Genomic DNA, 27,176 nt, shown 5'->3' with positions numbered 1-27,176 from the left:
TGACCACACGCAGGGTACTGTTCTGTTACTTGCAGGTATGAACTCATCTAATCTTTATAGAAAGCCAGTGTGGTAGGTGCCATTATTCTTCCACCTTAGCAAAGCGAAAAGTGAGCTTTAAGTGACTCTTCCAGGTTCCCCTCTGACCCTTTGGGCACAGCCACACCAGGCCTATAGCTCTACCTCTCTAAAGAATGGGAACCAGTTCACCAACACCATCTTCAGGAGCTGACTCTGCCCCACTGGGAAGCTCTCTCCTTGACGCATGCTTGGAAAGGTGAGCTTTTTGTCTCTCAAGGAAAATATTCACTTTGTATTTTGGAAAACAGAGGAGTTTCTCCTGCTTTTCCTCTCTTCTTCCCTTTGGTCACTTCTGTGGGATACACAATAAGAGACTGGGCAATAAGAACAAAATTATGTGAGAAGAGGCGGACTTGGGTTTAAATCCCAGCTACAGCTAGACATACCCGTTGCTAGCTGTGGCTCTCTGCAAGTGACTCCTCTTCTCAGTTTCCTCATCTATAAAAGAGAGATCATATCCACCTTGTGGTACTGTCATGAGGATCAGGGAAAAGCATATGAAGCATCTAGATCACTGCCAGGTGCCTTGGTTTATAACTGTCATTATTTGGCCACTTCTTCGTAGCATCAAGGCCTTGTTCTGCGCTACTTCACCTAGGGAAGACTCACCTTCCCTGAGGCTCCCTAGTTCTCTCATGGGTGACGTGGGGACGAGAACAGCTAACCTGCTGTGCATGATCACTGTGAGGGGTGGGTGAGGTCACCCCGTGAGCATTTAACACAGTGCCTGGCGCACAGCACGTGCCCCATCAACTGTGCCCTTTACTCTTATCTTTATCATCATGATTAGCTTCTCCCAGGAACTGAAAATTCACTGAAACTCCCAACAGATCACGAGAATTACTTCCCAATCACAACTTGTCGGAGGGAAATATCTGGATGTTTCTCTTTCATAAACATAAGAGCTGTCAGGCCAGTGGCAGTGGCTTAGCCTATAATCCCAGCACTTCGGGAGGTGAAGGTGAGCAGATTGCTTGAGTCCAAGAGTTTGAGACCAGCCTGGGCAACATGGCAAAACCCCATCTCTACAAAAAATACAAAAATTAGCCAGACATGGTGGTGTGCACCTGTAGTCTACTCGGGAGACTGAGGTGGGAGCAACACCTGAGCCCAGGAGGGTCAAAGCTGCAGAGAGCCATGACTGCACTACTGCACTCCAGCCTGGGCGACAGAGTGAGACCCTATCTCAAAAAAAAAAAAAAAAAAAAAGACATTTCTACTTCCATTTTAATGGTCTTTGTGTACTTGTGTCTCCTATTATGAGCCACTACAAATCTTTCTGAAAGAAGACAGAGTATAGAAACAAAACAGCTCCATGGTGAGAAGTAACACAGACCATTCACCTTCTACATCCAGTTGCATTTGCAGGACGGCTGTGCGATTAGATTAGCGTCTGCAGCCTGCCATCCAAGGCTTGCCTCTCTGGATGAGGGTCACTAGTCTTCTCAGGAATGAAGCCAAAGCCAGGCCCAAGCAGCCGAAAGGTAACTCTATCCCTAACAACAGTTACCTGGTCGGTAAAAAGGGCATTGGCCAAGAGGAAGCCTTCTCCCAAAATCATCACCTCAAATTCTCCAGTTTTATACCATAAACCTCAGAGTAAAAGTCTGCATTTTGTTTTCCACAGAATTTTTAGCAGCATGATGCCTTTTTGAAAATTTGCCTTTTCTTCCTATCAGTTTTCCAACCATATGTAGACAAATTCAGCTGTAATGGTTGAAATGAGAGAGCCAGTTAAGTGAGACACTCAAGTTGTCGCTGCATTTTAATAAACATAGCACACAATGTGTTGCTACACAAACACCATTCATAAACCTGAGTCACAGGTTTCAGATGGGAGCTGGGGACGTGTATAAATAGCCTGTGTATGTTAAACAGTAGAAAAGAAAAGAAGTTTGGGGAATAAGGTCAAAATCATTGTGCCCAATTTAAACATCATAAAAATCTCAGCCTTGTCATTATTTACAACCCCCAGCATAACTCCCACCCAAAAGAGAATGCCAAACGGAAAATTCTAAATAAGATGATGTCCTCACGTCGACCTAAACAGTACAAATGATGCAGCATCATAAAACAAAGTTATAATTATGTTGTCTCACTTCCTGGCTGCCGGATGCCCACGGTACAGAGCAGCCACTCCACAGGATTTTCTGAGCTCTGAGCTGTCTGGGGTTTTTGTAAGAACATAGCTTTGACTAGCATTGACCAATTGATTTGCATTTAAAGACTCTGTGATGGTTTGAGGTGGCAAAAGAAGAATACAACTTGTGTGGTGGAGAACTAACACCTTGATCATGTTGCAAACGTTTCAAAAATGCATTTTTCCTATATTCACCCCTCCTCAGCTGAAAATAGCCCAGCAGGCTCAAGGCTGGTTGCAGCTGAAGACAAATCCCACACACCCTCCAGCCCCTCCCATTTGAGAAAAAGGGCATGGCCATGGCTTGGAAGAAAGGCAACAAGAGTCTTGGGCAGCCAAGACATTCTCGAGGCTTTCAACAGGTCCCTGCAGACTTGGCCTTGACTCTGGGTCATTCTGTTCCTTAGCAAGCACCTTGTGGCCTTCCAGCCTCCGCTCCCAGGAACTCATTTGAACTTGCAAGGTGCTGTTCAATGAAGTGGATTCAGGAAGCAGCAATTCTCTCTCAGGAGAGGTCTAGTGTTTCGTCACCTACTCCCCCACACCACTGATGCTCAGAAGGGCTCTAGGACCCCGTGTGTGGAATTCGAATGCCAAAGATTGACAAACAGGGTGACACAGACACGCAGGGTTAACTCGGCTCCCAGCTGCTGCGTGATTCCAGCTCCCATTCAGTCTGACTGCCTGCCGGGTCTATTTCTCACGTATCCTCATTCTGGTCCCTCCTCCAGTCACCAGCAGAAATGCACCTCTCCGTCTCAGGCCTCTCCCATCTCAGTCTCTGATGATGTGCATGGTCTTTGCGTTAAGAGCTCACTAAAGTGTAGATCATGCTGAATGCAAAAAAAAAAAAAAAAAAAAAAAAAGAGAGGAAGGTGTTAGTAGAAGCCCACAGAGGACTCAGGCTGCCCCTCAGGAGAGGGACCTTCCAGAGGCCAGACCCCTTGGCTTCTCCCTCATTCCTGTCACTACAGCATCTCGCCAACTCCACTACTGTGCCCCTTCTACTTCCCACAACACTGGAATAAAAATTTTTTGGGAGAGCATATTGTATCCCTTGGATAAAAGATGTGAAAGCTCTAAGTGCCTATTATCATTCTCATCAGGATGATGATTATGGTTGTTTTCCTTTTTGTGCAATTGCAGGGCAGGTCTGGGGGTGGAGGTGGGGGTGCAGTGGATTCTTTATGCCACCAGCTGCCATGTGCTTGCATGATGGCTGTGTCCAGGGGCTCCCAGATGATGCTGGATAATACGGTAGTGCTGGGGGAAAGATCATCATCACTACTGCAAAGGCCAGCGTGGGAACATAAGCCCTCTGGGCACCAGAACTCAATGAATTCTTGATTGGGTAACTCCCTGGCCCTCTTATTTTTAATGGACTCCAGGAATTAAACATGCATTAAAAGTGTGTGACCTAAAGTATTGCCCCAATACTACTAAGAGTGGGGTGAAGGGGACATGTATCCCTGTGCGCTTAGTAAGGGCTTCAGGGTAATTTTGCAAGGCTGAGGAATGATCTGCACCAAAATATACCTCTTTGTCTATTTCGCAGAAAAAGAAACCAACTATCTTTTCACATTATAGTGAGAAAAAAAGATTCATCTAAGAAGTAAAACCAAAGGAAAGAAATGAAAAGGTTTGACTTCTAACCCTTTGCAGCTGTGGATGCCCAATGAGCTCCTCTGAGTAGCTCAAGTTCCATCTTCAGGAACCTCACACACCTCATGTACACAGAGAACCACTGGTCAGACCTGGAGCAAGAGGGACTTACTCTACTTGGGGAAGCTGAGGGCCAGATGAGGAGTGACAGCAGGGCGAGAAGCCACATTCTAACTCCAAAGCCAGTGCTTTTTGCATAACAGTACTAAGCCTCAAGTGGATACCTTTGTTTACTCACTTTCATTCGTTATGCCAGACACTATTCTCAGTGCTGGGGAAAATGGTGAGTGTGCAGCCCCAATTCCTGCCTTGAGGAAGCATACAGCTAAGCTGTAACAACAAACCACGAGGATTCAGTGAGTGCCAGGCACGGGCCAGGACACTGCAGACGCAGAGGTGAATGAAACCAACATGGTCTCCAGTGTCAAGGAACAAGTAAATCATAAATAACATAGATGGAGAGAAATAAACCTGAGGAGGAACAGGCATGATCCAGAATAACCACGCAGGAGGGTGGTCCTACTACTTCAGGTCGGAAAAAAATCTTTCTACAGAGCAGACACTGTTCACACTGGGCTCACTAGCTAGTATTAGTATCTGCATTAGCTAGTCCCCTTCTAACACAACCCTCAAATATCACCTGGTCCACAAGGCAACCTGAGAAGTGGGGTGATGGGTGCCATGCGGTTCAAACAGGATAGAAGAAAGAGCACAGGCTCTGAAGCCAGATGTTGCTAATTATTAGCAGGGACCTGAGACACATTTCTTAACCTCTCCGAAGTCCTCAGGAGCCCCTCAGGGAGCTCAAACTATAAACTATCAACCCCGTCTTCCCCGCTGTTGTGTGGGTCTCTAGCCCTGAGCTCAGTTCAGACATGGCTCTGCATACACGAGTCCCCTTCCCTCCCTCCCACGGTGGCCTGCGCTGACGCTGCTGTGCTCTCCACCAGCTCCGGATCTGAGGGGCTGGCAGCTCCTAAGGTGGGAGAAACAGAGTCTTTTAAGCAGCCCCAAAGAGCACCAAGGGGCCAGATTCAACAAAGAATGTGGGTGCCCGTGGCGGCCACCCAGGGTCCCAGTGAGGCTGCAGGAACTGTTTCCAATTTTGTTTTAGAAACAGAGTGATTAACACATGTATCATGAAGGCAGGGCCAAACTGAAGTAATGAATTAGAGGACAAACAGTCAAACAGACTGTCTGGAACACACTCGGTTACAGAACAATCACACCCATCTAACCGAGAGGAGCTGCCAAGACCTCCCTACCCCACCCCCTCCCACCCCCGCAGCGGAGCACGCACAGCCGCTTCCCTCCCTGTGAACTCATATGGCTTCTTCCCTGCGACGCCTCGGCTCCAGCAGTTACTGCAACAAAACTGAAATGAGGGAAAGTCTCGCCTCTGTCTTCATCCACACTGAGGTGGATCCCAGGCTAAAGGGGCAGGAGCTAATGAAAACAATGGTCTCATTCTGTTGGCTTAGAGGAGAGACAGTGCTGTCTCTGGGGACAGGCCACTCAGCCCATGACTCTGCAGAAGGGGAAGTCTGTGGCTCCACAAAGAAAGCAGGGTTGAGCACACTGCAGGGAAAAAACCTAACCTCCAAGGTGGCAAGTCCCTAAGCCCACGGCGGCTTTGTCCACACTCTGTAGGTCTCCCAAGACAGAAACCCATCTGACAAGCCTTTGGTTGTTAAATAGTTCAGACTTGGAGTCAGAAAGACTTAGGTGAACCCACTGGGCACCGTAGAAATCTCCGGAGGCTTCAAAGACCGTCAGGCTCCCTGCAGGCTGGAGCAGTAAACATCCCAGAGCACCCCACAGAGTCTGCGGACACTGGGGATGTAAAGGGGAGGGAAGGCAGAACCAAGTAGAATGCTCCAGAGCCACCAAGGTGTGCACCAAGATTGTCCAGAGAGCTTGTTTAAAACGCAGAGCCCAGCCCTGGAAAGTTTGAATAGGTAGCTATAAGCCCAGGAATCTGCATTTTTAAAAAGCACACCTTCCTCCCTTCCTTACCCCACACTTTGATGAAGACTTTTCTAGAGGTTTTCTAAGATAGCCAGCAGTTAAGAGCTACTGGGCACGGTGGCTCACGCCTGTAATCCCAGCACTTTGGGAGGCTGAGGCGGGTAGATCACATGAGCCCAGGAGTTCAAGACCAGCCTGGGCAACATAGCAAAACCCTGTCTCTACAGAAAAATACAAAAATTAGCCGAGCATGGTGGTACATGCCTATAATTCCAGCTACTCAGGAGGCTTAGGCAGGAGGATCCCTTGAGCCTGGAGTTCAAGGTTGCAGCAAGCTATGATCCTGCCATTGTAGTCTAGCCTGGGAGACAGAGTGATACCCTCAAAAAAAGAAAAAGGAAAAAGGAGTTCAGTCTTTGAAATCGGACTCAAGATGTACTACTTACAGCTGTGACACTAATAGCTGGAATTCAGGAAAATTATCTAACTTCTCAGATTCAGTTCATTTTTCATATGTGAGTGAGGATAGTATTTATCTTATAAATTGAGCGATACGTACAAAGCTCTGAGCACAAAGCCTGGCTCATTTTTAAATGTCAGAACTTTGGGAGGCTGAGGCAGAAGGGTCACTTGGGCCCAAGAGTTCAAGACCTGCCTGGGCAACACAGTGAAACCCCATCTCTACAAAAAATTTTAAAATTAAAAAAAAAAAATATAGCCGGGCATGGTGACACACACCTGCAGTCCCAGCTACTCAGGTTAAGGTGGGAGAATCACTTGAGCCAAGTTCAAGGCTGCAGTGAGCAGCGATGGCACCACTGCACTCCAGCCTGGGCAAAACAGTGAGACCCCATCTTTAAATAAAAATTAAAAAATAATAAAAAATAAAAAATGCTGGACAAATGCAGCCACATTCTGGCCTGCCACAGCCCAATCCAAACCTAGGGGTGGCGTGCAGTCCAACATCCCGACCCCTCCTCCTCTTCACCTGGCTGCTGTCAACCATGCCCTTTTGGAGACATCACCGGGAGGTTTGGAGATCACCATGGCCCTGCCACAGGTAATGATGGAATCGCAAGTGACAGGTGAGAGTCCCCAGAGATGAGCCAAAGAGGAGCAGGAAGGAGGAGGAGACATTTGCGGAAAAGGCACTCTCTGTGGTGTCAAACCACAAGACAGTCTGTTTATAGCTATCTGCTTAGTTAGGATGTTCTGAGCGGAGAGGTGAAAAGAAGGGACACTCCTGAAACAGGACTGCAAAGTCAGCAGGTTTTTCTTAATTGGAATGGTGTTATGTAATATTGGGAAAACTGTAAATGAAGCATTTAGCGACACAAAATGCCACTTTATGAACCGTGACAGCCACTGTGGGGCTGGGGTGGGGAGTTTGGGGCCTCTGTTATGGTTCCCAAGAATCCTTGGGGCAAGGGACAGTGAGGATGAGCCTGAGCCCCTGTGGCCACAGGCAACCTGCTGGGCTGAGCTGCAAAGTCGTGAGAGGCAGGAAGCCCTATAGGGAAGAAGGAGTAGCCAACTGCACTTCACCAGTTATCTCCAAAGGGATGTTGAGAGGGTGTTTTCACTGCGTGGCCCTAAGGATGTGCCGATCAGCAGGCAAGGCCTCCTGCAGGATCTCCTGCCCCCTTACTTGTTTATACAGAAGCCCTTGCTCCTGAGCCAGAGTCAGACAGCTGGGACTACACCTGAATGGCCATGACTCCCACCCTCGCACGCCATCTCCCAAAGGACGCCTCCCAGAGGCCAGCCTGAAATTCTCTTCCTTTTGCTGCAGGAGTCAAAACCACCAGGAGGGGCAGATACTCACCAGTAAAGGTAGTAGAAGAAGGAGAGGAGATAGAAGGCCAGCTTACACCAGGCCTCCTTCTGACAGTAACTCAAAGTGTCGGCATTCATGACCACCGGTGGGTCGTAGGCTAGTTCTGAGCTATCTGCTGGACAGTGGAAATACCTGCAGGGAGAGAGGACATCATTGTCTCTGAGGTCCTGGTACTTCTGGCGTAACCTGGGCAAACCCTTCCGATGCAGGGCTTCTGTCGAGCAATCCCTGCCAAGCAATTGCCTGCCTTCTGCCCAAATCACAGTTGAAGCACCGCTGAAGAGTGGCTCAGCCACTATCTTCCAGCAGGTAGTAAATCCCCAAATACTCCAATCCACTGGCATCATGGCAATTTCACCCATATACAAAGCTGCTCCAACAGAAGGGGAAATGTGTCACCTGGCGTTGCCTAGGAGTCTGAGGAAGAGCCGCCTCTCAGGACAAGTGCAGGCAGAGGTAAAGGGCTATACCACCACTGCTGGGATGCCACCATACCTCCATTCTACCCTAAAACTACTTTACACAGACCCTTATTGAAAATCCTGAATACTTCGGGACATCCTATTCTCACTTGAGCGCAGAGCAGTTTACAGGTGCTTTCCTTCTTGATAGTGGGACCTAGAACTCAAAAAGAACATCAGCCATCTGTCGGGAGACAGCGTGCCCTGGACGGCAGCTGGGTGAGTGAAAGAACGTAGGTGGGAAAGAGGAGGAGGGGGAGCAGCTAACGCGAACTGTGTGTACTTCAAAATACTACGTTCCCAAGGCTCACCTGGCCACAGCCCCTGAGGAGGGGAGCCGTCAGGCTTGGTGAGACCTGGGGCAGGAGTCTGAGCCTCCTGAGTCCCTTGGGAAGTGGTCGCTGCCCCCAGGACACTGCCCCCAGGGACCTGGCCACAGCCTCCTGCCGGAGCCCAAGAACAAAGTACAGCTGGAATCTCTCAGTGAGTTCCTTTTTCAGTCATTCTGGTAAAGCCACCCAGAGGCCAGGAGTGCAAATAAATGGCTTCCCTGGGCTCTGGGACAGACAGTGGTTCTCAATGGTGGTAAAGGGCCCAGGGAGAGGGCTCCGACCGGGAGATTAATCACACTGGCTTTGAAGAACATCCTGCAATGTAGCAACTCGCAGATCCGGAATCTCAGCTCCCTCCTCCTTCCCCTTCAGAGAATTGCACTGACGTTATCTGTCACTGACACTGTGCTGAAAAGAAATCACAAGCCAGATTCGATGACAACTGCCAGCTCACAGCCCTCCAGGCCACTCATCTCTCCTCTTCCTGGGAGCCAATCTCAAAAGCTATTTGCTGTCACTGTGGTTTTATTCCCAGGTGACCTCATTAAGTGGAGGCAGAAGGGCAGGGTGGCCATGTGGCTCCGTGGAAACAGCAAAGGCCCTGCCAGTCACCAGTCACCACATTGACTTTCCTTGGGTCAGTCATTAACCCATCTGAGCCTCAACTTTCTCATCGGTGAAATGGGGATGGAATTGCCCACTGCAAAGGGCTGTTGTGACCATTATGTGAGGCGATGTATGCAAATAACCTGGGAAGAACAGGTACTGAGTCAACAGCAGACAGTTCTATTTCCTTTAAGCAAACTAAGAGCCAGAGCAGGAGGGGACTTTCTCTGTATGTGAAATGTCACTGGTCTGGACCTGTTGGGAAGGAGGGGGAGTAAAAAGGGGGATAAAGGGTGTACAAGGGCTCTGGTTTTTAAAGGACTCCTCCCCTCCTCATTCTTTTTTTTCTTTCATGTTCTGAGAACTTACTAATTGCCAGGAACTAGACTAGATCCTGTCAGGGATTCAAAAAAAAGGTAAGACAAAGTCCCTATTGGCAAGGAGATTGCAGCCCCTCCCTTCCTCCATAGAGATCAACTTTCCTAGTCTACGGACACTGGCTGCCTCTCCTTTTCCTCCCTTTTGGACAAGCGCTAGCCCCACGAAGCAGTGCCCTGATCGATGTTTTGTCCATTAATCACATTTCTGATACCCTGCCTTGACAGCCCCCTACTTGAAGGACCTTGGGACGAACTCCTTTCCTGGAGGAGAAGAGCCAGCCCCTGGGGCAGTGTGTCAGGTGGCAGGGACTCAGACTGGAATTCGTACAGAGGTGGGGTGTAACCTCAGCCCTGCCACGTCCGAGCTGAGCAACACAGGTTAAGTTGACTTAACCTTTGTGAGTCTCTGTGTCCCCATGTATCAAACACAGAAAATGAAACCCAGCTCACTTGGTTGTTGTGAATCCTGGATCTTCTATTTGACTTCTCTCTAATTCAGATGAGAGCAGATTGCCTTTACTTAAAGTGAGGCTTCTCGATGTAACCGAATCTTTTTCCTTCCTCCCTAAATCTGAGATTTCTTCTACCCTGCTGGCCCTGGTCAATGGCACCATCGACCTCCCGGCCACGCAGCCTAGAGGCTTTCTCTCCCTCACCTGCACCCAATTATGGGCCAAGGCTTATCCAGTTCACCTCCACAGCTTCTCTTGTTCTCTCACCATTCTGACTCCCACCACCTGGGTCAAGGCTCTCTCACCTCTCCACCTGGAGTTCCCACCATAACCCCCTCATTGGATTTCATCCTCAATATTTCACCCTCTAACCCATCCTTTACACTGCTTCCCAGGCCACCTTCCTAAAAATCAGATCAGGTAATGCCACTGTCTTCTTCTAAAGCTTCTGATCATTTTTCATTACCTAGAGAATAAATTAATTCCACCTTCCCCATCAAATCATTTCAGGCCCTCCATACCATACTCTCAGCTGCCTGCCAACCCTGTCTCTTCTTATTTCCCTCCAAGAACCCTACATCCAACCTCACTGAGCAACTACTGTTTCCCAAACACAACAAGTGTTCTCTTAACTCTGGGCCTTTGCACATGCTGGGCCCTCGCCCTGGAATGTGCTTTTCCAATGTCACTCTTGAGTCTAATTTAAGTGCTTCTTTCTCTATGCTCCTACCAGTATTCCTCATATGTCTGTTAAGAACATATTTCCCTCCACCACTAGGATGTACGTTCCTTAAGGGTAAAGGTTTTGCTTTACACTTAACGTGAAATCCCTCACAATGCCTGGCGTGTACTATGTATCCCGTATGTTTTCTAAATGAAGGAGTGCATGTCTTAGGTGTGGCTAAATTCAAGCCAGATTTTATGGTACAATAAAAATGATAAAACACTTTGGGGTCCAATGCTCTGGCAGCAAAGGGTCAAGGGCAGGCAACTTATCTGCGCAAATACCTTCTCTACTATTTAGATATTCCCCCACCTCTGCCTCCTGTGTCCATATGGTGACTCTATTTTACAAAAAGCCAAAAATCACATGATCTGACACATGGTCTTAGCAGGGAATAGAATCTATGAAATTATAACTGTCCCAGAAAATCCAGCCCATCTGGTAGGTGCTTTTTTTTTTATTAAGATATAATTTACATACCATAAAAGTCACCCTTTTAAAGTGTACAACTGTACAATTCAGTGGTTTTTAGTATATTCATAGAGTTGTGCAACCATCATGACTATCTAATTTCAGAACATTTTCATCACCCTAAAAAGAAAACCTTTGACCCATTAGCAGTCATTCCCTATTCTCATTCCCTCCCAGCCCCTGGCAGCCATGAATTTACTTTCTGTCTATAGATTTGCCTTTCCTGGACATTTCCTATAAATAGAATCATGAAATATGTGGCCTTTTGTGTCTGGCTTTTTTCACTGATACTTTCTTTAGGGCTTCATGTTGTAGCATGTATCAGTACTTCATTTCTTTTTATTGACAAATAGTATTCCATTGTATGGATATACCATATTTTGTTTCTCCATTTATCAGCTGATGGGCATTTGGGTTGGTTCCACTCTTTGGCTGTTGTGAATGCAACTATAGATGCTTTTAACACTGACCTACAAGGGATGGGGTTGTGGTTAATGAAACCAACAAAAAGGGCCTTTCCTTATTGGACTTGTTGCCTAAGAGCAGTTTGGGAACAGGCTTTAAAGAGAGAGACCCAGAAAGGAAGGGATGATTGGAAGGCAATAGAAGCTGTCTATTTGGGTGACATCATCACTGGAGAGCAGGCTGCCCTGGCAGAAAAGACGAAGGATATACCAGTCCCAGTCTGACTTACCTCCAGAAGTGATAGAAAAGTAGAGGGACATTCAGCCCCAGCGTGAGCCACTCTTGCGCACACAGGAACATAATGCAGAAGAGGCTATGGATGGAGTATTCTGGCAGCACCAGCTGAAGAGGGAGCAGAGACACGGCCCTGAGTTAGAGGAGGAAAACGCCACTCCTGCTTCTATGGCAGCTGACTTCTGCCTGGACACTGCCTCTCACAGACGGTTGACACAAAGGCCCTCCCTGCAGCAACGTAGAGCCACTGCCCCAACACAGATCCATTTCTGGTAAGTTCTTCTTTTTATGGCACTCCTCTTTTTATTATACCCAAACCCAAATGACACAAGCCCTCAGTGCACTGCTTACTATTAACAGAATACCACGCTTGCTCCTAGGGGTCACCCATGGATGGCCACTGGGAAGACTGGAAGAGCTGGTCCAGCCCATGTGTCATCTGACCCAAGGCAGGACCACTAGGAGAAATACTGCAAGGGTTTCTAATGAATCCATAACTGCCCTGCTCTTGTTTTTCTGGCCCCTGTGTATCCTCCTATAGTAACTCACAAACCTAAAGTGAATATGTACATTTATCACAAATATAGGAGGGTCAGGAAAAAATGGCCAGCCTCAGAAGGCAGTGGCATTTTGCCTGATGGTGGATGGAGCAAGAGGAACGCGAGAAAAACAACAATTAGCAATGATGAAGAGGGACAGTGTAGCCTCTGGGGGAAGAGGGAAGAAACTGATCCTGACCAAGAAAGGCCTGATGGTGGGAAGTGTGACCAGCAGGAAGACTAAGCTCTCCCACCTCCAATCCAGCCACACAGGTATAAATGGGTAAAAGGAGCTTAAAATCATTGAAAAGCTGCTCCCAAGGGTAACTTCATTTTATCAGAAATCAAAGTTGTAAGCTAAAGGGTAACTGTAAGGAAGAAATTTGGCACCTAGACCAGCAGTAGGGAAGGCTACAGATATAAATGCACCATTTTACCCAGTTATATAGGGAGATATAGATACATATTACTAAATATATTTATTTATATAATATATAAATATACTTTGTATTGTTTAGGCTCTCATGAATACTTTGTTCTTCCCATCAAAATCTTTTGAAACATCCTTCAAGGCCCATCTCAAATGCCACTTACCTTTTTTTTTTTTTTTTTTTTTTTGGAGACATAGTCTTACTCTGTTGCCCAGGCTGGAGTACAGTGGCGTGATCTTGGCTCACTCTAACCTCTGCCTCCTGGGTTCAAGCAATTCTCCTGCCTCAGCCTCCCAAGTAGCTGGCATTACAGGCGCCTGCTACCACGCCCAGCTAATTTTCATATTTTTCAGTAGAAAGGGGGTTTCACCATGTTGGCTAGATTGGTCTTGAACTCCTGACCTGAGGTGATCTGCCCACCTCGGCCTCCCAAAGTGCTGCGATTACAGGTACGAGCCACCGTCCCCAGCCTCAAATGACACTTTCTATTGGGAGCTCTGCCTACCGTCCCTTGTTCCTCCACCCTCCCCTGTACCTCTGGGCCCCACAGCATGTTTTCTGACCCCCTCCCAGGGGTACTTTCCATAATCTATCCATTGTGGAGTCATCATCCTCTTCCCACCTTCCAATACAGATAGATTCCTCTGTCCAGCATTCTGCAAGCCATCTTAGCCAACGTCTATTCTTTTCTCATTTCCATTTGCAAAGCGCCTTTGTACAATGCATGGCAGTTAGGAGAGACTTAACAAATACGTGGTAAAGTGCATTGAAATGACCAAGTGCATATGTTTACAACATGGCTGGCTGGCATTAGATATGCAGCCTGTGGTTACAAACTAAGATTTCTTTGGGTGGAGAACAAACTCCCTCAAACCATCCCATTTGGGTATGGACCATGACTTTGGTCTCTCAATTTAGTTAGATGAGCTAACTACCCCAGATGGCAGACACAGAGGGAGAAACACATACGCACACATTAAAAATAAAGACATGCACAGCACACGTGTAAGACATTTTGTAACTATGGGGCACCTTCTTTATTCTCAAAGTCCAGTGTAGATGAATTGCATTAACCCTCACCTTAGACTTCTCAGGCAATCACCTGAGGAATCAGAGCAAAGGAGCCATCATTCCAGAGGTGGTGACCCTTGGTGGGTGAAGCAGGTACCACCAGCCCCTGTGAATCTCAACCACCTGGCAGGAGGGGGCACGCCATGTCCCTATTGTATCTCCTTATAGGACCTCAGAGCTGTGATAACCAATCCTATCTACCCCCAGCCAAGGCATCACCCTACCCCCTCCCATTCAAAGAGAAAGCCCACTTTCTCAGAGCTGGGTGCGCCAGCCCCGGGAGGCAGTGGCTGTGAGTTCTGCTATGCACATCTCTACATTTTCTAATCATCAGTTTCAGCCACTTAAGCTGAGGCAATTAACATGTTTAGAGACAGCCACCGTGGGCCTGAATCATCCATTATTTCTCCATCTCCATCTCCAATTCCAATGACAAATCTCTGACTGATTACAGTTTGGATTTCAGGTCCCACTCTTAATCACCACTGCTTCTTCTCTCTTTGGGGCTTGATTTATTGTGGAGGCTGCAACCTTCCAAGCAGGGAGGATTCATCACTGTCTCCACGTAGAGGAAAACTGCTTAATGCAGGCCAGCTAGTCACGGAGGTCTCCAGCCTTTTGGAGGTTGGGAAAAAAGCTGAAGAATTTATTCTGCCATTTCAGGTGGCTTCTCTAGATGACCTCTTATGCCTAGAACACTGAACAGGATCCTTACAAGTAGAAGAGGCTCCTCCAATTAATCCAGAGACTTTTAGGAGTGACAGTGACCTTTTGATACACACACTGATCCTTGCCTACTTCACCAGCTGCTTCTTGTCACAATGATGTGGAAGAGGTAAGGAACCTCTTCCTTCTAGACCAAATGGAAATCAGCCAGGCCATTTGCATGAGGCCTGCACCATAGCCATTATGGCTGCCTCCACTCACACCCAGCACTCAGCCTTCTGGAAGGTGGTAAGGTCTCATTTTCCAGCTCTCAGGGGTTGGGGCTGCTGATGGGCTGTGGGCAGAAGTGATGTGGAGAGAAGGCCAGACCACTTAACGGCTGATACAAAATTCTCCAGAGTCTCTTTTCCTTTTCCTCTGACAAAGCAAAAAGCATTTAGGATGGTGGGTACTCCATCATCCTGAAGCCACAAGTAAGGAAAGAGGCCCCCAGGCAACTCATGATGGACTAGAGTGTGAGCAGTAAAGAAACTTGTGTTGTTTTAAGCTGCCAAGAGTTGAGTGTTGTTGTTGTTGTTGTTGTTTTGCCATAGCATGATTTAACCTATCTCATATGATACCATCAGCAAGCCCCAGACTGAGTAATCAATGGGAAAAGCAAAGTTGTGCTCTTCACTGTTTATCCTCCCCCAACCATCCACTCAGCCCTTCCTTAACAAGCCATCGAGGCCGGCAGGACACAGCTCCCTGTCACCGGACATGCTCGGGCAGGGGCTGAATAACCACCAGGCAGGCATAATGCTCATTCATTTGTGTGGGCAGTCAGACCAGGCGTTCCCTCCCAACTCTGAGAGTGTCTGTTATATAAGGACCACCCCTAAAGCTTCTAAGCAAAATACAGAGATGCTGATGCAAGCGCTCACCACAGCCCCATGACCCTGAGTCATCCCTTAGCTTTGGAAAACACTTTTTTTTTTTTAATAAGAGAAGCTGTTGAATGGTGCCAATCTCATTCTTTCAACAAATGGAGAAACTATTTCATGCAAGCCACAGCCTATTGAATTGCCATGTATTATTACCCTGCTTTCTAGAGTCATAAATCCTAAATCTCAATATAAGTATTGTGGGATTACTGAAAGACTGCAATTCATTCCAACCAGGGGGATCATGGAAGGTTTGTGATCAAAGGGAAGTTGGAAAGGGCGAGTAAAACCTAATCACTTATGGGAACCAGAGGTCGGCATCCTAGAAGTGGAACAGTGAAAGCAAAAGCATAGAGAGATGGAAGTCACTGGTCTGGGGTGGCTCCTTAACAAGGCCACCTCAAAGGGCCCCTATTAAAGGACATTAATGATAACCGGTAAGGACTGTGTAAACGCTAACTGTATTCCACCTGTCCTGACTTCCTACCCAGATGCTAATAGTCAATTTTCATTTGCTGGCAAACATTTCCACCTGGATATCCCACAACCACTTTGTGCTGAAATTCACATTCCTATCAGTACCTGCAAACTTTATCTCCTAAATTTCCAACTTCTACTAACCATACCATCTCTGACTCCTTCTTCTCATCAGTCTCCATGTAAGTCTGTTTCCAAATCTTGCTTCTTCACAGCCACTTGCATTTGTTCCTTCCTTTTTATTTATCCTGCCCCTGGACCTCCTCTCCAGGCTGGTGCAAGAACCTTCTAGCAGGTTTCCATCCCTGCACACATGTGCCCTCCACCCAACAGAGCAGTATATGCCATGCTCAGCTCAGCTGTAAGCCATTGTCCACAATCTTGTTTTTCCAGGAATTTTACTTGTCTGCATTCTAAATATTTTATTTCTAGTTATGTATCCTCTCATTCATTCATGTATCCATTTGTTTGCTGTTTTATCCCATCAATGACCTGCAGCTGATTGGTACCCTTTATAGATTATGAAAACAATAGAATCGTGTGCCAAGTCCTGTCTTATTTTTACTACTGTGGTGGAGAGGGGCATCAGGGGTTGTGGGAGAGATTCTTCTTACCCCTAAAGGAAAAGAAGTAGGAAGGGGATGCTTGGAGTTGAAGCAAGGGAATAATGCTCCTGGTGGAGAAAAGGGATTCCTTAAGACCAGGGGAAGGGAGAAGATGAGGGAGATGAAGAGGCAGCAAGCGCCCCTGTTGTTGGAGATCCGTCTGCTCCTGGCTCTCATCATGCATTCCAAGGGCATAGGTTTTCTGAGGGGCTGGTGTCAGCATGCCTGGGACCAAACACTTTAAAAGTCACAGCTATGGAAGCCACAGGGAAGCTCCTGGCACTGAGTTTATCTTGAAGACAGTAGAAGCTGTGAGACTCAGAGTCTCTACCCATCTCTGAATGCCCCTGTCGACTCAGACAACAAGCTTTACAGCTGTAATCCCATAAGTCTCAATATATTAGCCCAGTGTCTCAAAGCATTATATAAATTCCTACAGTTACATAATACTCAACTGTGTGCTATTTAGAAAAGCAGCTACCCATGCTGAGTCTTATTTTACCCATCTGTAAAATGCCATACCTACCAGCCAGGGACACAGGATGTACTATGAATGACAGTGCTCTCAAAAGTGAAGAAGCCTCCAGCAAAAGAAGACACCACTATTGTTATTGTGTTGTGATCATTATTATCATTATTATTTTTTCTGAGATAGAGTCTTGCTCTGTCACCCAAGCTGGAGTGCAGTAGCACGATCTTGGCTCACTGCAACCTCCACCTCCCAGGTTCAAGTGATTCTCCTGCCTCAGCCTCCCGAGTAGCTGGTACTGCAGGCATGTGCCACCATGCCCGGCTAATTTTTGTATTTTTAGTAGAGATGGGGGTTTCACTATATTGACCAGGCTGATCTTGAACTCCTGACCTCGTGATCCACCTGCTTTGGCCTCCCAAAGTGCTGGGATTGCAGGCATGAGCCACCATGCCTGGCCGGTCATTATTATTTTTAATAATCATATACTAGATGATGACCATTCTCAGGTAGATAACTTGTTGCTCTTACCGTGAAAGTCAATGAAATGACCCAGAACCAGAGTTGGTTTCCTGATTTTTCAATTCAGTCTCCTGACTCCCTCTGATTGAACCAAGCTCCAGCTTCCTCAAGTGGGAAGAGAAACCAAGGGCTGTTTCAACAGCCTGCCTCTCAAATCATAAAAAACCTCAATCCTTGCCTGTTTTCAACAGCAATAATCCAGTTCTGTGTGTCTGCCCTAAGGTTTATTTGCCCCAGGAGCCAAAGAGTGTGGAGAAAAAGATACTATATCTTTTATTTGATTCCTCAGCCCATACTAAACTGGCCCTAAAACAGAGGATCCCTCTGGGATGCCCCGGACGAAGTCAGTATTCCCAGCATGGAGATCATTCTCCATTTGTTCCCAAATGAATAATCATGCACGTGAGCATCTCCAAGCAATGTCAGGAAACTACATTCTGGGCCCCTTTGCTCTCAGGAGGCCACATGCTCTTTAATCACTCTGGATGAAGGTCGTCTTTGGAAAGCCTGCACCAGCCTGGGCATCCAGGAGGGCTGCCCAGCCCCATAGGCCTTGCTGTGTCAGGGACTAGCAGCCAACCTCAAATGGCATGATACAGTAGGAACACTCCGCCAGCTGGGACTTGGGTTGGGTCGACTTGAGTGGTCCCTATTTGTTGGTGCTGGCATATTAAATGTTTTGACCTCCTGGAATTTGCATCAAAGTTTATTAAATAGTTTTAAGCCATAAGACAAAGGCTCTGCTACATAAGCAACTTAACACAGAATAACCTAGTCTAGAATTATAATCTTATTTAAAATTTTTTAAAATTTTTTGTTAAGAGATGGGGTCTATGTTTCCCAGGCTAGTCTTCAACTCCTGGGCTTAAGTGATCCTCCTACCTCAGCCTCCCAAATTGTGGGGATTAGCGGCGTGAACCATCATGTCTGGTCCTAGAATAATTTAAAAAGTCACCATAAAATTAATATGACACCTACTGATTTTATGTACACCAGGAACTGTGGCTGTGACTCAAAACCCTTTGCTGTTAGGAGCTCTCCTAAATGCCTGGACCAAGTATTGCTTTGATCTTGGCCTTCCATGGCCAGAATTGGACCCTCATGGCTGACCACTGGGGCCTGGGCCACTATTCAAGGGAAACCAGTAGCAGATTATTTTCCCCATAGGCCTGCACCAGGAACACGAAGGAAAATAAGTTAGAGAAAGCAAGAGACAGTTGTCTGCCTGAGTGAGCCAGGACCTGAAGACAGAAGAATTTTCCTCCTGGCCTGGGGAGGCCCAGTGGTCAGTGACGGCATGAAGGGCAGAGGAGTGACGGGCTGCTTCCAGCCCCAGAGGGGCTTTCTCTCCAGGCCTCCCACTTTTCCATCCCATGGGGCCTCTGGTTTCTCCCTATGTTTTCTTCACTTACCCTCCCTGAGCACATTTAATCCACACTGTGGATGTTCCTGTTGCTTCTTGGCACCCACTTGGACTCATTTCCACCTCTGCACTGAGAGAAGGCAGCACAGGGAGGAAAAGGCACAGAGAGAGAAGGGGGGTCAAAACCAGCACCCCTGCTGCCCATTGCTCCTGATCACCCAGGGTGTGATGGCCCAGAGGCCCCTGTTGGGACTTAGCTGTGCCTGACACATCAGCAACCAGCCACACATGCTCCAGACACTGCCTTCGTGGACTGCACCGGGCTCTGCTCTTGCCCTGCCCAGCACCCTGGGAGCTGCCTGACCCTTCCTGTCCTCACTGCTCGTTGGGGACCAGCTTCCAGCCTGACTGACACTGACCAGCTCAGGCACCTCTAGCCCCACCGTCATTTCCCTTGGGGCCCTCACCGCCAGCTGTACCCTGTGCAGGGGATGCAGCCCAACCATCCTGCATAAATTACAGATCCCAGCCAGTCGACTGGGGAAGTTCTCCTGCTTTGATCCAAGAGGAAAAGCACGTATGCACAACACCATGAGGAAGAAGGCTTCTTCCATCGGAATTCACAGGTCTCAGCTTGTTTCTGGAGGAGAAGGAAACCAAGGCAGGAGGTGACTGACTGGGCCTAGTGCCCTGCTCTACAGCCTGGCTGTTCCCACCCTGCCTCCCACCCATTTCTTTAAGCTTCCTCATCTTTTAGCAGTGGTTCTCAAACTTCATGGTACTTTAGAATCCCCCCTGGAGCTTTTGCTAAACCCCAGATTGCTGACTGCACTCCCCCCAAGTTTCAGACGCAGTAGATCTGAGTGGGGCCTAAGAGTCCCCCTTTCTAACAAGGTCCCACGTAAGCCACTGAGAACCCTGCTCAAAGTGTGGTCCCTGCTCCAGCATCCAGTTTCTCCTGGGATCTTGTTAGAAATGCAGAATTTTGGCCCCATCCCAGACCTACCGAATCAAAGCCTGCAGTGTAACAAAATCCCCAGTGACTTACATGCACATTAAAGTTTGAGAAGTGACTGATTCCCAAAATAGAGTCCCCCAGCCACCTGCATCCAAATTGCCTAGAGCACTTGTTACAAATGCAGATTTCCAGGTTCCACTCTAGACTCTTTAGATTCTCTGGGTCAAGAATCTGCATTTTTCAGAGCATTCCAGGTGATTTTGTTAAACACTTGAGCTGAGATTCACAGACCCAAGGTATGAAAAGCGTACAAGGGTCACCGGGCCATAACACCTGGAATATGCCCAATCCCATCTGAAGAGCACACAAGGCAGATGCTTCTTTTTTAAAACCCCTGGTGTGAGGCCTCCTCCCACCCAACCCTCCCAGAGGCTGTGGGTCTTCTCCCACATCATGAGGGTCCTGAGCACACACAGCCCTGCTCACTTACTACTGCTTCAGGGGCTCAAGTCTGGGCAACCGGCATTTGCAGTCAAAGGCAGTTGTCTCTGGCTCCTGGCTTTCCCACACACCACCCCGTGGGAGAGCACCCCTGAGGCTTCCTGGGGTCCTGCAGCCCTGCAGCTGGTGGTCTCTAGTCTTGGAGGGCTGGCTTTGGCATATTCCTGGGACGGAGGTGAGCTCTCCAGCATCCTTCCACCTCCAGAATCCCCCCTCCAGTTCTGGCCGGATTCTTTCCACCTTCCACAGGCCCCCTCTTCATTCAGCCTCACAAGCTCCTTCCACCTGTCTCTGGCCCTTCTGGTGTCTCAATGGACACTTTATAGATCTGTAAGGGGACAGCTTCCTTTTAGGACCAAACCTTTGGATTCCAGCCTTGCTCTGCCCACTCCTCCCAGCCTTCCTTTTATAATTGTTTTCATACAGCATCAAGACACACTTGAATTTCAAAAGCCTCTGCCAGTTTCTTCACACGCTTGTTAAATTACTGAACTACCTAAGATTTCACTCAGGGAGGAGATGAGAATAAAAGCGCTCTCTCAAATAATACCACATATTTTAAGGGACAAAATTCTCCTACAACTTGCTGGCAATTCAGAGCTTCTTAACACTTGTAGCTTCCCACTCCTTTTCTTCTTTACTTTGAGCCAGAGATGAAGGGAGTAGAAATCATGCCCAGACTATAGGGAGTGATCAGGCAAAGACTCAGATGGTTTGAGAGGAGAGGCACTCACCTCTCCTCTCAGAATAAGGAGGGCAGTGGGGTTAAGGGTTCAACAAGCCTTATTCCGGTGCTGGAGAGCCCCATTTTCACACTCATTCAGCAAATATTTATTAGAAGCACTTACTAGGTGGTGAATGCAAAGCCATCCAGCTGGGGAGACTCAATGTAAATGACCAGGTGTAGCACAGGCTCTATGAACAACAAACACGGAAGCCAGAGGACAAACCGAGGCAGCACGGGAGCACTCGACGCAGGAGGAAAGGAGAGAAGAAACCATTGTTCTGAGTGAGGAAATGAAGGAGGGCCCCTTGGAGGTGACGGCCTCTCAAGTGGAGATTTAAAGGATGAGTTATACTATGGAAGGCAGAACGTAGTGGCCAAAGTTGCTCCCAAGGGACACTCAGAGCCATCCTTTCATTCAGGGGCTTGAGACAATCACTTTTTCCTTTATGTCCTGGGAAGAAAATCTCCGTTCCATCACGTGGGCTATCTCTTATACATCTTCCAGGGAACGACATGGCGACTGGAAATCCTTTCTGCCAGTCTCTTTTTAAACCTGGGAGACTTCCAGGGAATAGTCACAGTGATTTTACCTGACAAGGAAGAGCATGGTGACAGGAAGGGGAACTAGGGCAGAAACAGGTCATCTTCTGCCTCTAGTTACTCAGCACGGGGCAGATGATAATGAGCCTCGACATCAGCCCCACCTGCCTAGAGCTCGATGGGAATTTAGCACAGCTGAGAGCTCCGCCCTCCTCTCCAACCTGTCCCACCCACGGTGCCCACCCAGCCCAGAGCAAAGGGAAGGAAGCCCAACTCTGCTTAACAAAGAGGGTTCTAAGTCCCCAGGGCCACACCTCCCCACTTCCACTGCCTGCTACAGCCACGTTTCCCAGGTGAGGCTCTGCTGCCAGGTCTCTTATGTAACAAGAACCTGATGTTTCCAGAGGAGGGAGCTGACCTCATGCACCGCTATGCTCCTTAACAGAGTGAACCTGGTGTAAGCCTGAGTCTTCAGCAGCACCATTAACTTCCAAAGAACCTTTTCCAAGAAAAAAAAAAAAAAAAGATGACTATCCTACTTAACACTTATTAAGTGGTGTTAATTACCTGTTACACTCAGCAGCTTGGAAAAATTTTGCCCTAACAAACAAAAGAGGGTGAATTGAATGAGAATGGGAAGTTCTGGCATTCGCAAAAGAAACACGAGCTGTCATCATCATCATCATCAATTAATATTTACTGAGTGCACATACAGGGGAATGGGCAATTTGCTGAACGTCCTGACCCAGAGCCCTAACTGCAAGAACAAGACGAATGGACACAGCCCTCCCTCCCTGTGGCCCAGGCAGAGGGGGTTGTCTGAATTCGAGCACATGCATATGTGTTTGTCCAAAGTCTGGCAACAATTCCTATTAGCTGGACTGTGCCAAGCTTTACCACAACTCTGATTTAGCAAATTAATATTTTGAAGAAAAGACAAAATAATATTGTAACTTGTTTCCAGCAAGGGATTGAGTGCCAGTGTCTTAGTGAAAATAGTAGTAGATTAAGGAACAAGAAACTTGGGCTGTAGCTTGGACTATTAAGAAACTACAGAAACTTCGGTAAACCATTTAACCTCAATAGGCTCAGTTTGTCCATCTACAAAATGAAAATGATAATAATAATAGTATCTAATTCATAGGACTGTTATGAGTATTAAATGAGTTAATATCTGTGAAGCTCTTAAAATAGTTTCTGGCACAGAGTAACACTTTATAAATAATAACTATTACCTGTAAGAGGAGACATTTGACCTTACAATCTCTACAGTCCTTCTCAGTTCAAATACTCCATATAGTTTTAAAAAGCAGCAATTAAACTCCTTTGAAAATTAAACCAATAGATCTTCCTTTTCACTCTCTAGTACTTGCAAATTTTAAAAATCCTCTTCCTCCAATAATTTTTATCCCCAGAAACACCATGTGTTCTGGGGAGTCTGACCATTTTGTGTGTCAGCAATTACCACTCCTAAGCAATAAAAGCTCCCCATGCTCCTGAAGAAGGATTTTTCTCACCTCTCAAGTCAGTGCTGTGCAGGTGTAGGTGTCTGTGCCATTGGTTTGTCTGTGTGTGTCTTTGTGGGTCTCTCTCCATAAAATTGTTCCATCAGCACAGGGGCCGGCACATAGTAGGTGCTCAGCAAACTCTCCATTTATTCACTTAACAGATACGCATCAAGAGCCTACTATGAGGTGTCAAACACTGTGGCAGGCACTGGAGGTGCCAGGATGAGTTCAATGAGCCTGGTGACAATGTTCCAGGCACCCCCAGGCTGATGGGAGAGACCGACAGCTGAACACTGGACCATGCCGCAGCCAGCACTCACACACTGGTGAGTAGGCAAAGGGGTCAAAAGCCACAGCCTGTGAGCTACAGGTAGTGGGGAAACCAGAGCAGACACGCGACCTGGCAGGCACACATGGAGAGGGATCCCGCTGCAGAATGGTGGAAACACCTGGGGCCATCTCTGAGTCTTGAGAATCACTATGACAAACTGCCACGAGTCCCAGGAAAACCCTCTGCTCCCACATCAAAGAACAGGCTTCACACAGGAGGAAGGAACTGCCCCTTTCTCCTGAAGTGTCACCTCTTCCTCCTCCTCTCATCCCCCGTCCCTGCCTCCTCCCACCAGAGCCACCCGTCTCCTCCTAACTGGTCCCCTCACTTTCACTCCACCCTAAGCTATTTTTCACCAGTAGGCAAAGTGATCTTTTTGAAACATAAATTAGATCATGTCTCTTTTTGGCTTAACCCTCCAATGTCTTCCCACTCCTCCTAGAATGAAATCCAAACTCCTTACGATGGTCTCTAAGGCCCCACATGATCTGGCCTCTGTGCCCCTGGGCCCTACAACCCGCCACTCACTCCCCTGCTCACTCCACTCCAGCCACACTTGATCCTTCGTTGTTCCTCAAACCCAGCATGTCTGTTCCCACCTCAGAGGCTTAGCGCATGCTGTAGCCCCTGACTGGGGAGCTCCTCCTCAGATATTTGCATGGCAGTGCCTTCATCACTCAAGAACCTACTCAAGGTCACCTCCTCAGATGAGCCCTCCCTGCCAATCTAGTATCGTCTCCCTCCTTATTTACTTTAATTTTTCCATGGCTCTCAGCATCATTATCTGAAAATGTACCTATTGTGCGTTTGTTTACTTGCTTATTGTCTATTTCCCACACTTGAATGTTCCATAGGGCAGCTTGTCTTTTTCATGACTTTACCCCCAATTCCTAGAACAGTGGCTGGCACACGGTGCAATTTTGTTGTTGTTGAGTGAGAAAACAAATTGGTCCTTTGGTCGTTCCCCACACAAGCATAGCTATCACCATCACTGAGCTGATTTCTGAATATGAAAAACCATAACAGCCATCCCAGTAACTAAGAAATGGTGTTGACTCGACACTAATTTAGCAGGCCTCAGGTTCAGTAGGTCTGGCCTCAGTGTATCTCTCTGTTGTACATCCACAGACTGAAGCTCTAGCGCTGGCTGGTCCCTTACAGGTGAGTACAGTTGGTCACAAAGGGTGTGGACAAAGAAGAATCCATGGAAATTCAAACTCAACTCAACTCTCCAGGCTTTGAGCACCCAATGCCCTGGATTAAATATGGCAGGAGGCCCAGCAAAGACCTTACAATAGATCGGGAGAGATAAACCGAAAACCTAAGTGACTATATAATCCAAGGCTGAATATAGGGAGAAGCAAAATAGAAGGATAAGCATAATAGGGTCAAAGGAGGAGGGAGGCAGATCAGCCAACACTAGCCCTTGCTGGGATACACACTGCTATGGACTGAATGTTTGTGCCCTTCCCTAAATTCATATATTGAAGTCCTAATCCCCATTGTGATGGCATTAGGAGGTGGTGTCTTTGGGAGGTAATTAGGTCATCAGAGTGGAGCCCTCATGAATGGGATTAGTGCCCTCATAAGGAAAGACACTAAGGAGCAAGCTTCTCTTCTCTGCCATGTGAGGATACAGTGAGAAGGTGGCCATCTGCAGATCAGGAAGAGGGCCCTCATCAGAACCCAGTCATGCTGGCACCCTGATCTTGAGGTTTTAACCTCCAGAACTGTGAGAATAAATTTCTGTTAAGCCACCATCTATGGTCTTTTCATTGCAGCAGCCCAAGCACACGTGTGCATGCACACACACAGACACACACACCAAATGCCTCACTGGAGCTTCCTCCTACTGCTCCCCACTGTCGTGGTGCAAGGGGTGAAGGAAGAGCTGCAGGAAAAGGCTGGCCAGTGTTATGAGAAGGGAAGGAAAGGTCACCCGTCCCTAGGTATTGCAAAGAACCCTCTGCAGCTCCTGATGTCCCCACTCCAGAACCCTAGCAGGGCTCCCCTTTCTCCAGTGGCAGAAGTGGGTGTTCTGAAGGGGCCTGATGAGGAGCTTTACGGCATCACTGCCAGAAGACAGCACTTCCCGTCCTTTCTTATTTCCATTTCTCATTACACCCACTCCCTAGGTGACCACAGCAATAGCAGAGGAGGGCAAGAGAGGGAGGGGAAGGCAGACTCTACTTGGGAACTTTCCTCCTCACCCCACAGTTCCCTCCTCTCCATCACAGTGCCTCCCAGTTCCCTCCTGGGTGCCTCAAAATTCCCTAAGTTATCAGCCTGCTTTCCAAACCCCCACGGTCCCCACACTGTACCCCATTCCTTCCCCAAATTTCCATTCCTGCTGCTAATCCCAAGAATCTTGTCCTCCATGCATCTCCCTCAGCCCCCAAAACCCCCATTCTTGGAGCAAGTGACACAGCAAGTAACAGATAATTTCTGTGATTCCCAAGCAAAATGCAGGACATGTGTTTATTCACTCATTCAGCATTTATTATATACTGGGTCCTATGTGGTAGTGGTGGTGGGGTATACAGAAGTAAGACACCATCCTTGCCTGCGTGAAGTTATAGGCTTATAGGCTAGTGTAGAAAACACATGTTTTTATGAAGGAGAATGTTGATGTTATGCATGAAGAAACATATGGTGAGAGTTTGGAGTCTGGGATTCTAGGAAGACTGTTCTGAAGAATAATAATCAAAGCTGAAGTAGAAGAGTAATCCTTTGGCCCTACCTTTCTTTGTAGTGTTCCAGGCAAGAGATGGTGATGGTCAGGACAGGTAGTTAGGGGCAGAATGTGATGGAGTCATATTGATGGATTTGAAAAATACTTAGGAGGTACCATCTACAGAACTTAGTAATTGATTGGATGAGAGGGTGAGTATGAGCATTACTCTGAGAAATCTTGAACATTAGTGTGAATGATTTACTGGAATGAGCAGCAGCATTGGGAGGAGAAATATTTTTAGGGGTGAAAGAAAAGAACTCAGCATGGGCCACTGTGTGAAGTGTGCTGTAGTTAGGTTTGACCTCTCCAAATCTCATGTTGAAATTTGATCCTCAATGTGGCGGTACTGGGAAGTGGGGCCTAATGGGAGGCGTTTGGGTCATGGGAGCGGATCCCTCATGAATGGCTTGATGCTGTCCTTGCAGGAATGAGTGAATTCTCCACTCTGTTAGTTCCCATGAGAGCTGGTTATTATAAAGAGCCTGGCACCTCCCCAACCCTCTCATTTCCTCTCCCGCCGTGTGATCTCTGCACACACCTGCTTCCATTTGCCTTCTGCCACGAGTGGAAGCAGCCTGAGGCTTTCACCAGGTGCCCAACCTTTCGGTCAGATGAACCATGAGCCAAATAAACCTTTTTTCTTTATAAATTGTCCAACTTCAGGTATTCCTTGATAGTAACACAAAACAGACTAAGACAAAGTCCCTGTAGAACATCCAAGGCAGTTGGATGTTGAGGACTGGTTCTCAGAAGAGGAATTTGAAGGTTCTGAAAACATCAATGGTAAATGAAACCCTGGGCTGGTGGGAGAGTGGAGAGTGAGATAAGATGGGGGACACAGTCCTTGCGGTCACCAACCTTCAAGGAATGAGTAGCGAAAGCAGCACAGAAAAAGGAGGCTGAAGACCAGCAAAGACACAGGACAGGGGAAAACCAGAGGGTGCAGAGTCAGGAAAGCCAGGAGGACTGAACGTTTAAAGATGGAGACATGGCTGCCA

At 47.5% G+C, this 27,176-nt stretch overlaps 1 protein-coding gene and 1 long non-coding RNA gene across 18 annotated transcripts in view, besides 5 other annotated features; one reads left to right on the top strand and one right to left on the bottom strand.

Annotated features, from left to right (window-relative positions):
• Positions 1 to 1,828: 1,828 nt before the first annotated feature.
• The window catches only part of CNIH3 (cornichon family AMPA receptor auxiliary protein 3), a 305,915-nt gene continuing 280,567 nt past the window's right edge, over positions 1,829 to 27,176 (bottom strand). For 12 of the 16 annotated variants that reach the window (NR_136293.2, NR_136291.2, NR_136294.2 and 9 more), the window contains 3 exons: positions 11,809 to 11,921; positions 7,677 to 7,820; positions 1,829 to 3,054 (listed from right to left, as the gene is read on the bottom strand). Coding sequence is in view for 5 of the 16 variants with exons in the window: in NM_001322302.2 (NP_001309231.1) it covers positions 3,027 to 3,054; positions 7,677 to 7,820; positions 11,809 to 11,921 (285 nt within the window). In the remaining 11 variants the exon portion in view is untranslated. The remainder of the gene's footprint in view (positions 3,055 to 7,676; positions 7,821 to 11,808; positions 11,922 to 27,176) is intronic. The other 4 variants (NR_136289.1, NR_136290.1, NR_136288.1 and 1 more) reach the window with 2 other exon arrangements.
• Positions 5,142 to 5,191: an enhancer, noted in NCBI's record as "active region_2617". NCBI's record gives its function as "activates an Ori minimal core promoter by ATAC-STARR-seq in GM12878 lymphoblastoid cells {active_cell/tissue: GM12878}" and the evidence as "EXISTENCE:reporter gene assay evidence [ECO:0000049][PMID:35858748]".
• Positions 5,542 to 5,601: an enhancer, noted in NCBI's record as "active region_2616". NCBI's record gives its function as "activates an Ori minimal core promoter by ATAC-STARR-seq in GM12878 lymphoblastoid cells {active_cell/tissue: GM12878}" and the evidence as "EXISTENCE:reporter gene assay evidence [ECO:0000049][PMID:35858748]".
• Positions 7,076 to 7,145: an enhancer, noted in NCBI's record as "active region_2615". NCBI's record gives its function as "activates an Ori minimal core promoter by ATAC-STARR-seq in GM12878 lymphoblastoid cells {active_cell/tissue: GM12878}" and the evidence as "EXISTENCE:reporter gene assay evidence [ECO:0000049][PMID:35858748]".
• Positions 8,158 to 9,357: an enhancer, noted in NCBI's record as "CDK7 strongly-dependent group 2 enhancer chr1:224920728-224921927 (GRCh37/hg19 assembly coordinates)". NCBI's record gives its function as "activates an origin of replication core promoter dependent on BRD2, BRD4, P300/CBP, MED14 and CDK7 cofactors, with strong dependence on CDK7, by STARR-seq in HCT116 cells {active_cell/tissue: HCT116}" and the evidence as "EXISTENCE:reporter gene assay evidence [ECO:0000049][PMID:35650434]".
• Positions 8,627 to 8,766: an enhancer, noted in NCBI's record as "active region_2614". NCBI's record gives its function as "activates an Ori minimal core promoter by ATAC-STARR-seq in GM12878 lymphoblastoid cells {active_cell/tissue: GM12878}" and the evidence as "EXISTENCE:reporter gene assay evidence [ECO:0000049][PMID:35858748]".
• Positions 11,791 to 25,204, top strand: CNIH3-AS1 (CNIH3 antisense RNA 1). 2 transcript variants are annotated; one of them, NR_187293.1, is made up of 3 exons: positions 11,791 to 12,085; positions 23,275 to 23,439; positions 24,573 to 25,204. It is a non-coding gene; the product is annotated as a CNIH3 antisense RNA 1 (long non-coding RNA). The 2 variants fall into 2 exon arrangements; NR_187294.1 differs by lacking the exons at positions 23,275 to 23,439; positions 24,573 to 25,204 and adding an exon at positions 14,518 to 16,459.

This window comes from Homo sapiens, chromosome 1, assembly GCF_000001405.40.
Source record: "Homo sapiens chromosome 1, GRCh38.p14 Primary Assembly".
Lineage (NCBI taxonomy): Eukaryota > Metazoa > Chordata > Mammalia > Primates > Hominidae > Homo > Homo sapiens.
The sequence above is the reverse complement of the archived record's forward strand: the minus strand, read 5'-3'. Positions and strand labels throughout refer to the sequence as shown.